This window comes from Homo sapiens, chromosome 7, assembly GCF_000001405.40.
Source record: "Homo sapiens chromosome 7, GRCh38.p14 Primary Assembly".
Taxonomy (NCBI): Eukaryota; Metazoa; Chordata; class Mammalia; order Primates; family Hominidae; genus Homo; species Homo sapiens.
In genome coordinates, this window is record NC_000007.14 from 121,132,297 (window position 1) to 121,143,863 (window position 11,567).

The 11,567-nt window shown below is 34.3% G+C and overlaps 1 protein-coding gene across 5 annotated transcripts in view, besides 1 other annotated feature; it reads left to right on the plus strand.

Annotated features, from left to right (window-relative positions):
• The window catches only part of CPED1 (cadherin like and PC-esterase domain containing 1), a 308,732-nt gene that overhangs the window by 143,586 nt on the left and 153,579 nt on the right, over positions 1 to 11,567 (plus strand). For all 5 annotated transcript variants that reach the window (NM_024913.5, XM_047420856.1, XM_047420857.1 and 2 more), the window contains 4 exons: positions 1,527 to 1,597; positions 3,744 to 3,794; positions 8,531 to 8,717; positions 9,677 to 9,845. In NM_024913.5, the coding sequence (NP_079189.4) occupies positions 1,527 to 1,597; positions 3,744 to 3,794; positions 8,531 to 8,717; positions 9,677 to 9,845 (478 nt within the window). The remainder of the gene's footprint in view (positions 1 to 1,526; positions 1,598 to 3,743; positions 3,795 to 8,530; positions 8,718 to 9,676; positions 9,846 to 11,567) is intronic.
• Positions 6,249 to 6,358: an enhancer, noted in NCBI's record as "active region_26557". NCBI's record gives its function as "activates an Ori minimal core promoter by ATAC-STARR-seq in GM12878 lymphoblastoid cells {active_cell/tissue: GM12878}" and the evidence as "EXISTENCE:reporter gene assay evidence [ECO:0000049][PMID:35858748]".

Below are 11,567 nucleotides of genomic sequence, written 5' to 3' on the forward strand. Positions count from 1 at the left end.
CCAGTGCTTTGGTCCAGGGCTCATTGATGATCCAGTACATCACGCAGACAGGGAGGCCATCATTGTCCTTATCTTCTCAATGGTTACCACAGTTTTTTCTATAGAAAATGTCAACTTTATGGATGTACATTACCTGTGTTCAATGACTTCATCTTTCCTTTTAAGGAAAGATCATTGTCTTGTAGCAACGAGGTGAGAAAGTCAGGAAAGCTTGACAATACCAGGTAATAGTTATATGTTTGTCCTGAGGCTCAAAATCCAGAGATCTCAACAGAATTAGTGTGAATCTGAACAGAATGAAAATCTTAAAATCAATGTGGTGCACCATGTGCTAATTTTACCTTCCTAGAAGTACAGTTGCATTGTACATTACTCTAAGGAAATGCTTTCAATGAAAATCCACATGGATTTGAAACAATGTATTCACAAAATTATGCAGAAAATCACTGCAAGATGCCTTTACATACAGTGTCTCATTCCATTAAGATAGTAACCTTTCCAAACTTCAGTTTCTGTGCATTTCAGGGTTGTGTCTTTTGTAAAAGTCACCTGGAATAAACAGTTTTTAAAATAAAACTGCAAAAAATTATCATGGCTTCCAACTTTAGCAATAATTTTAATTCCTTGATGCTTTTAAATTTCCTAGCTGATGTTTATATTTGGAGCTGAATATGTCATATTCATCTCTTCTCCATTACAGTACGCAGCACAATATCTGGGACAATACATATTTCTAAAATGTTATTTAACAAAGAAAATTGTATTTAACTCTCATAGCATCCCTGTGAAGTAAGGTAAACATTGTTATCTCCATTGTGCTGGGGTGGAAATGGAGATTTGCACCAGCACAGGAAAGTCTTGTCAGGGGCCTGCAGATGATCCTGCCTGCTGTTCTTTATCATCAGGACCAGCAATTTTTCTGTCTGCAATTTAAATTATTTTGGTCCCAAATTTGAGGATTTAAAGGGCAATCTGGCCAAGTATTTAGTTAGTTATACAACAGAGAAAATTAGGTGAACACACCAGAATTTAACTAACCCTTGCTATTCACTACTGTTAATTAGAGTTTAAGGGTAGAAGACTTGGCAAGACATAGGTCATTTTCTGCATGGTATACTTATTTCTTCAATTAAATGTATGTTCTTCTCAGGCTGTGCCTTGGTGATTCCAAGATTTTTTGCTCCAAAACAGTGTAACTATAGCCAAACAGATTTCCAATAAGAATGTGTATTCTTGAATCACTTCTATTGGACCCAAGCTATCTGAGATTCCTCAGATTTGGACTGAGAGGGACTTTTTACCCTGGTTTTCTTCAAATATGCTTCTACTGATTAGGGATGATGAGATTTCCACCTACTTCCTTTGAGGGTAGATTGCCAGTTTTGAGGATTGAAATGCAGAAAGCGTTTTTTTGTGTTCATCAAAGTAACTGTGCCCATACAGAAGAAAAGATAGTGTGTTAGATGTAATTTCCACGCGTTTTGTTCATTTCATTAATCCAGAGTTGTTTGGCATTGCATTTGCAGGAATTCTTTCACAGAAGATAAGAACATTGAAAAACCACAAGTGCCATTTGATGCAATAGAAAATAAAAAAGGTAAAAATATAGATATTCCCACTTATTTCAACATAAAAATAAGTATTTCCTGGCAAAAAAATGCAAAACTATTTAGCTTCATTAGCAATCAAAAATGAAAATTAAATGAGGAAATGCTATTTTCCCTTAAATTTGGAAAGGATTTTCTTAAAATTATAGAGAGGGAATCCAGCAATCCTGCTACTGGATATCTATCCAAAGGAAATGAACTCCGTATGTTGAAGAGATATTTGTACTCTGATGTTAACTACAGCACTACACGCAATAGCCAAGATATAGAATCAAACTAAGTGTTCATCAGTGAATGGATAAAGAAAATGGGGGTGTATGTACACAATGGAATACTATTCAGCCACAAAAGAGAAAGAAATCCTGTTGTTTGTTATTTGTGACATAGATAGTCCTGGAGAATGTTAAGTGAAATAAGCCAGACACAAAAAGATAAAAACCCCATAATCTCACTCATGTGGGATCGAAAAAAGTTGATCTCACAGAAGTAGAGAGGGTTTACCAGTTTTATGCTCTCATAGAGAGTAGAATAGTAGTTATTAGAGGCCAGGGAGGGTAGGAAGGGAAGGAGGTGGCTAGAGATTGGTTATAGTTAGGTAGAAGAAAAAGTTCTGTTGTTCTATTAAAAAGTGGGATGACTATTGTTAACCAATATATATGTTTAAATAGCTGGAAGAGAGGATTTTGAATGATCTCATCACAAAGAAATGTTAAATGTTTGAAGTGATAGGTATGCTAATTAGCCACATTTATTCATTACACAATGTATACATGTATCAAAATATTTCACATTATACCCCAGAATTATGTGTCAATTAAAATAAAACTTTAAAAAAGATAGTAAAGTTGGAGAGAGTGTATGGAAATCAGTATTCTCATAGTGCTGGTGGACGTATAAATTAGAACAACCTCTATTAAGGGGCCATTTAAAATCTAAGAAAAGCTTTAAAAGTTATTTTTATAGATCAGAAATTTTACTTCTAAATGTTCATTTTAAGGAAATAATATATACAAAATTTAATTACATAAATTATCAACAAATTAAAAAAATAGAGTTCATTACTATTGCAATAAGAGTGGACTGGACACACAAATTAAGCTAGAGTCATCAAATAAAATGTTATAAATCCATTCTTCTGTTGTGAAAGAATATTTATGACATGAAAATTCTTTATGATCTATTGTTAAACCTAACTAACAATTGGCTACCTCACCGTGAAGCTCAGGAAAAATCAATGGTGACTTATATTTTTCCTCTTTGGCTTATCTCTTTTTTCCCATTTTTTCATTCCAAAGAACATCTGAGCTTTTTGTTACAAGAAAAAAACTACTTCTAATTTTAAAAAGAAAAAAAGTGAAAAGAAGTACCCACCTATATGTCAATAATATTTTTTTTTAGTTCAAAGTTGTTCTATTGTGAAACAGGATTTAGCCCAATACAGTGGTTTTCAATGTGTGTCCCCCTCTCCCCAGAATCACCTGGGAAACCTAGCAATTCAGATCTACTCAGTCAGAATCTCTGGTGATGAGACCCAGCGATTTGTCTTTTAACAAGCCCTTCAGATGATTCTGAGGCCAGAATTTGAGAATCACTGGTTCAATAGAATGAATCAGTAGGTGCAGTGAAGAGCTGAGAGAAACTGCCTTTCTTTTGCCCACCAGTTTTTTCCTCTATAAATGAATGATTTAAGCACCCTGAGTGTTTTATTCATTCATTTGTTTCATAAATATGTATTAAGGAGTTTTTAAAATAAATATTTGGTTGAATTAAAAATATAGAGTAAATATTACTGGAACCAACTGGATGGCACTCTTACAATTCTAATGATTTGGGAAATTATAGTCATAGGATATAAAAGCTATAAGGAACCTTGGCTGATCAACGTCAGGCAATAAATGGCATTTAGACCATTCATTTTCTCTCTTAATATTTTTCTATTTGAAATAATAATTCTTCTGAGCTCTGAATAAAATAACTTATTTTATTGTAGTTTACAGTTTGACTTAGAAGTGTTCACTAGTATAATAAAAGTTAAATGAAAAACATGTTTTATTAAGTTATCTAATAGCTAAATGTATATTTTAACATTTTGATTAATGGTTTTTATTTTAAATTTACATTTCTTTTTTTTTTTAGCTGCAGTTCCACAAATTAAAAATGAAAATAAAGAAATACATTGCAGTGATGGTGAGTTGAGATTAAAGTGTTGTAGCAGCATAATAAACAATTAGGGAACAGCCTTACTTTGAAAAAAAATGCATCATTTTATTATATGTGGGTATCTTACGCTGATAATTGTTAAAGTAAATTTTAGAAGTTATTAGATTTCCAATGGAGTCAGTATCTATCACTTTTGCATAAGAACATAAAATATTACATTTTTTTTGTTTAAGGACAATGACTTCCAAACCCACTTTGAAGGGCTTTAGGAGTTGTAGGGCATTGCCTTGGAAGCCTTTCAGATGTAAGAGCTTGGCTTATCAGCTTTATATACTGATCTTTAGGGGTCTCACTACCTGGCAGTGATTTCTTTCTCACCAGATTGTTGCTGTAATGGTTAGTACTTGAGTAGAATTTTCTTTGTAACAGTTGAGAGTTTTTAAGCCAATTTTCAATTTTTTTAATTCATTTTTTAACCAAGACATAATACGAGAAACGTAAGTACTTTTAAGTTTGTATTAACTTTAAAAATGATTTTCTTCATTGTGGTCAGTATTATTATTACGATGGTCTTGCAAATATATCATCTTAGAGAGTCTAATTGATTTTTCCAAAGTCACAGGGTTATTAAATGCCTGAGCTGTATCACAAAGCTAGATCTTCAGATTCTCTGTTCAAAGCTCCTGAATTTAGGCCGGGCACAGTGGCATGCACCTATATGCCCAGTGCTTTGGGAGGCCAAGGCAGGGGGATCACTTGAGTCCAGGAGTTTGAGGTTACAGTGTGCTATGGTTGCATCTCTGTACTCCAGCCTGAGTGACATAGCAAGACACTGTCTCCAAAAGAAAAGAAAAAGAAAAACTCCTGAGTTTTCTTAATATTCTATAATATAGTGTAGAAAAATTGAGTTCTATATAGCAAGATTTTTCTTGATAATGTATACCTTAAAATATATATATACGTGTGTGTATGTATATGTATACATATAGCTGTATGTATTTGGTGCTAAAAATCAACTTAGAAAATTTAGTTTTCCACAAATAAAAAATCAATTTCAGTAAAACAGTAAAGCTGAAAAAAAGTATAGATTTAGATTTAATTTATTATATTATTTATTTATTTATTATAGATAGGATTTCACTTTGTTGTCCTTGCTGGAGTGCAGTGGCACCATCATAGCTCACTGCAACCTCGACTTCCTGGGCACAAGCAATCCTCCTCCTTCATCCTCCCAAGTAGCTAGGACTATAGGCATGAGCTACTACATCTGGACAATTTATGCAATTTTGTATAGAAAGGAGGTCTTGCTACATTGCCCAGGCTGGTCTTGAGTTCCTGATCTCAAGTGGTCCTCCCGCCTCAGCCTCTCAAAGTACTGGGATTACAGAAATGAGCCACCGTGGCTGGCCTAATTTATTATTAATAGACGTCTTTGAATTTAATAAAATCTAATTTTCATCTAAAATGCAATTTAATTCATTCATGATGTTTTATCACTATTGTTAAGGTCATGGTAGGCTGAGAGGTTATAATAATATAGTTTAATAGAATTAACGTATATAGCCAATTAAAGAAAATGGCATTTTAAATAAAGTATTGCTAATAGAGAACAAAGATAGCAAGTATTACTTATGCCATTCCTTCCCTGCACTCACCATCCAATCTCCTACCCCCAGAAAAATACATGCTACTCCATTCTCCTGGAAAACTGTTGTCTAGAGTATGGTGGGAAAAGGACTAGTGAGAAAACTAGGAGCAAAATTAGAGTGAACACTTGTTGAGGGTCCACTCTGTGCCAGGCCCAAGGCAAGATGCAACATCCAGAAAGCAACTTCGCCTCTTTGGGCTTCTATTTTCTCATTTGTAAAATGAAAGGATTGCATTGGATGATCTTACTTTTTTTTCCAGTTCCCATGTAATATGGTGTAGATGATGTGAATATGTTAGATAGGCACTTTAACTTCGTTCATGTTTTTATGCTGATAAAAATTAGTCCTGCCTGGATCTTTAGTAATTAATCTTCCTGCTTTTATGGTATAAAATAAGATTTAAAAATAATGTAAGGATGCCTCAGAACAGGTGGGATTATCTTTAAGAGTCTAGGCTCTTCTCATGTTCAATATGAGTTATGATTATTCCTCAAGAGAGCAATCAAATTCTGCAGTTAAAAGAAATCCATTAAAAGCGACCAAAACTTCAAACAGCTTTCCCATATATACTTGCCAAATAGGTTAAGCAGCCTGCTACCACCGTACCTCGTGCTGGGTTCTCCGTAGATCTCAGGTAAGCTGGCCTGAGACAAGTTGAGACTGGGATGGGAAAGATGCCAAGCAAACACCAGGTGTTTTTGGCGGCAACACTGATACTTCAGTGGAAGATGATGTCAGAACTAAATCAGCTTTCAGACAGGGGTTTAGGAGATAGTGCTCACACCAGAGATGGAGACTTTCTGATGAAACCAAAAATAAGCACTTGCTGAAGAGAACGATTGCACATTTATTTCCTGTCATCTAGGGCTGTTTCAGTTTCTAAGGAGGGCAGACCCCATTGAAAACCGTGACTATTAAGTGAAAGTATAAACTGCAGGGAAATTAACTCTCAGAGAATCTTTATAAAAATATATTCTATCAAGTTAAAGCACATCTTCTATGTTTTATTTTGAAAAAAGATCTTCCTCTTTGTTATTCACTTTGCTAGTTCTGAGCAGAAAAGTGCGACTGTTTCTATTCCCTTTGTGCCTGGGTAATGGTCATTTCCAAAGCACAGCCCATAACTCAACTCCAGCTTGTTTAATGTTATATTGGGTTTGCAGCCATTTGAATCAAACCTCATGATTAATAATATCCTGTTTTTATTGTGCTTATCTCGGGGTCTTTAACGGAGAAATTTCTGGAGAAAAAACTTTGATGAAAAAAGAATGTAGTATTAATAAGTGGTTGAATTTGAATTAAAAACTGTGGTCCTTTACAGAATGACTTCTAATAAAAACAATTTCTGCCTTCATTCTTTTTTCTTTTTTATTATAAGAAAATTTCAGGGGCTGTTAGGATCGTTGAAATTATAGATGCAGTCCACCTACATCTATCAGCCAGATACTATCTTTCATTGACCATTAGGTCAAATTACAAGTAAAATTAATGAAGCAGAGAGTTTACCCAATTCAGTGAGTTATTCAACCAACATTACTAGTAGTTTATTTTTTATTAAGATTTTTTATGAAATAAAATTACAGTATATCTATTGTATTATTATTGTTCATAATTTATACCTGAATTTGTTTTTCTTCCATAGCCTGAGAAAACTATAGAGTATAGGTCAGAAATATATAGGGTTTTTTTTTTCATTTTAATTGTATTAGTCCATAATGGGAGCTATACAGAGACCTAGTCCCCAGAACTAGAATGATGCATCCATATGGGTTGGTGGTACCCATCGTCATGGATTTGGTGGTGCACCTCCACGTCCATCAAAGAAAAATAAAAATTTTGGTCTTGTTGAAGCACAAAGACTGGGCAAAATGGGCAATGCAGCTGGAGAGCAAGACAAGGAAGGGATTGTGAAATGCCTTGTTTGCCTTATTGGGAGCTTGGACTTGACTCTGGAAATGATGAGAAACCACTAAAGAATGGAAGACAAATCAACAGATTTGATTTTAGGAAAATCAATATTATAGCTACGTAAAAGCAGGGGAAAAAACAACAGTTACTAAAATAATCTCCTTTCTCTAAGTTCAGTTTTATAGCTTTCTGTAGCAAATTCTGTGTTATCTTTTTTGTTGCCATGTTGTTAAATGTCACTGAACATTTTATGTAAGGCAACACCAAGATACTTCAATTTTACTGATTTTTATAGAATTTTGTATGTTTATCTTTGTTAGCATTTTGTTGACAATTGGAAAGTATTGATGGAATGAAATACTCCTTGACATTTCTTTGAAAAACACTTTGTTAAGCTTTTGGGTAATTTGTTTATTCTAAACATTAACATTGAATATAACTTAACAGTAGCTGGTGTATGTGCCTATAAAACAATTTTTTCTTTCTTTCTCACTGAAATAAAGCTGTAAATAATTGGGCTAACAAAGAGAAAGGTTTTTTTAATGCCTCAGAATCAATGATATGAAGTAATATTCTAGATTCTATGACAGGATGGAGCAGAGGATAGTATGTCCTTCTTATACTTTATGGTACTTTCCCAAGTAAGGTGGCCTGAGCATGGAGCAGTTTCAGGATGCCTTTGTTTTTGTGTCTGTTTGGTATAATGCTGGAGTTTGCAGTCTTTGCCCCACACTGCCTATAAGATACTATATCAATCAAGTGGTATTTCAATGACACTCCACATTAAGAAATTTTCCTCATTCCTTGCGGGTCCTCTTCTGCCACCATCCCACAGAGCCATCACTCCCACTTACATAGTTGCTTGATATATGCAGTAAATATCATGAAAATGTTATCAATCCACAGGAGAGACATTTTCCCGCCTTGTGTGCCTTTAAACTTTCAAGGGCTGAGCAGAAAATACCATCTATATAACGCCGACTAAAGTCAACAGCTGTTATATGAAGCAAATTCTACCAAATCTGATGAATTGAAAAGCCAGCTGCAGCCACAAATCAACTATGATCAGGGTACTGATTGGAAAGTCAGCAGGGATCATTGAAGTTGTTCAAAGGAAACAGAAAAAGAAAAACCTAATCATATATTATTTAAAGATATTTACCCACTTCACAGTTGTCTTTGTCATTGTTTTTGTTTTTTTAACAGATGAAAACACACCATGTCATATCAAGCAGATCTTCACACATCCACATTTGGAACTAAATCCTGACTTTCATCCAAAGATCAAAGATTATTACTGTGAAGTCCCATTTGATGTGGTAACAGTGACAATTGGAGTGGAAACTCCTAAGTGTCTGTGCAAGGTGCACCTGTACGAGCAGGCAGGGCCAAGGTATGAGATGTTGACTGGGGCTGTGTTGAGACACTATACTGGGAAGTAGACATTTGATGCAAACTTTGAAAGTGGTTCAGAAAAGCTGATTCATAAGATCAGTTGAAAGATTGCCAGGATGTGAACTTTCCCCTTCTCATTTTTTTTAAAAAAGATTTGTAACCTTTGCAGCTCATCTTTGTAACAATATTTTAACAAGAAAGGATCTTGTTATATGAAATATAGAGAAGATCCATTAAGGAAAAATTTTACTTATTGTTGTCTTCATGTTTTAACATTCTCGAAGATGTCAAGTTTTTGAATATTCAAAAATTGATTGCTTAAACCAATTGGTGCACAATTTGTGGACACAGTACCCCTAACTTTTCTAACCTCACTGGCTTTTTTTCCTATTGATTCTTTTAAAAGTCAGCAACTCTTTTGTTCATAATTTTAAAAAGAAGATAGAACCTTATTCTGTGCTGTGTCCATAGCAAAGAAGATACTCATGGTTCCATGCTGTAGGGAAGGAAATGTACTTGGAACCCTCGGGAGCCACGTCTAGTAGAAAGAAAAGATTCAAGTCAGGACAACCCGGGTTCCAAACCCTGACTCTTCTATGTGACTTTGAATGATGTGTTTACCAGTTCTAGGTCATGGTCTTTATATTTAAAATGGGGACAATCCTATTGTATTAAATGAGATAATGTGTGACCCTGGCAGGTGGTTAATAAATATTAGTTTCCTTTGCTTTAATTGTGGAAGATATAACTTGCCCTAAAAGAACACTCTTGGCATAGTAAAGTACTGTGAAAGAGATATTTATTTATTTTCATAGTTTAGGTTTCTTATGAAATTGTACAGACCTTTCCTGTTATTTATTCAAATAGGTATTTAGTAAATATTGATATATGAATCAGTTTGGGCTGAATAAATCTCCCCTATTCATATTCTATTTCTCTCTCCCTCTTTCTCTCCAGCTTTGCCAGCTACCCTCTGGGCTTAGGAATGAACAAAATCTCAATATTTGTTGTGGATGAATCTCCAGCACACGGTGAGACTCTGATCACGTACAAACTCACCATCTATAGAGAAGACCGCCCAAGTCTGCCCTTGTTTGAGGCCTTCACAGCATGTGGTTTTGTGCAGGTAAGTGAAGTTTACATTTGCACTTGGGTTGAATTGGGAATGATCTGTTAACCCAGGCGGAAAATGCCAAATGAAAATTATTACAAGAAATTGTATGCCTTGAAATCGAAACTGTGGTCTCATTTCAAAAAAGTGAGAATCCCAGCCAGGTATCTAAGTCACCTCGTTGTGAGTGATTTTCTTTTTAGTGTGATGGCTACTGTCTGTGCTCATTGTTTTCAGTGGACTTATTGTGGTTAATGTTCAAAAAAAATGTCTGAGGACTCACACTTAGTTGTGAAATCGGTTTCACATTTTCCTTTTAAATTGGGCTATTTTTCTTGGATTTGTCCCTGGATCTACTTTTGAAATGTTAAACTAGATTTAGTAGAATTTACTTTGAAGAATAAGAGGAAAATTTATGAAGCTATTTTACAAGACGGATACTGGATAAATGAAACTAAATTTGCTTGGGATAGTTAAATTTCTCATTCACTTCTCATACAGTAATCATTTTGCAAGGCTGTAGTTTCTCTTGTGAGCAACACATACCATTTTGTAACCTTGTTCATTTTGGAGAAGGATGAATGTTACCCTAACACTTTTGTTCTACGGTTTTTCCCTATTTTTGCTCTTTTAAGGATCCCATGTATAACTTTGTACAGTTCCTCATATCATATACCCCTTGCTACAGGTGATTCCAGGGAAGTAGTAATTGGTATTTTTATCACATATCTATTAATTCACTCAGAAAGTATACTTGCAAATATATCATGTCACATTATATATTACTGGGAGCTTTGAAGAATAGCTGGTTAGTAAAAGAGAGGTATTGCTGACTGGGCCTTGATAGGTAGCATGGTTACCATGTTTTTTATAAATGTAACAGCCAGGCACAGTAATCACCCCGCCACTGTCTTATCTGTTTCCAAGAGCTTTAAAAATCTCAGGGATTGGTATAATTTTTATTTTTTGAGGAAAACATATCACTAATTTAGGAATTACCACTAAATCAAATGGAATTTCACATTAGTCTGAAGATTCATTCAAAGAAAGACAAATATGTTATTCTCAAAGATATTAATAAGCACACTTAAAAAAGAGTAGAATACAGTTCCATGGTCAAATAAACCCATTGGTTGATGAAGCAATAAGCTAAACAAAGTTAAGTAGATGTCTTTACTATAGGACTTCCCTGAACCTCTAATATAGTAATTTAAATGGTGGTTCATTTATAGTACGGAAAATATATAGTGTGTTTCATTTCCAAACTTATTTGATATGGTTTTAATAGAATAGCTATTGATATTTTTGTGGGACAGATTTGAGGAAACACTGGTCTACACTATGGAGAAGACTTTAAAATATGTTCCTCTTAGGTTTTGACCTTTCAATTTGCTTTATTTGGATTGCTGTCTCAACTTGCTTCTGAATTGAAGAACAAATAATATAGCCACACCAAAAATGTTTAAAAAAATAAACAAAAACTTAGAGGGAGGTGTGCTTTTGTATATTTGTGTATATTTGTGTGTATAATTATTTCTAAACTAAATATTCTTACCCTTTTTGGTGGAGCATTTTTTTCATACATTGCTGGGAGAAGTGTGAAATGTTTGACCACTTTGGAGAACTTTGGCAGTATCCACTAAAGCTAAATATGTATAAATGATTCAGCAGTCCTTCTAGCTATACACCTAAGATAAATGAAGTCATATGCCCATAAAAAGACACACACACACAAAA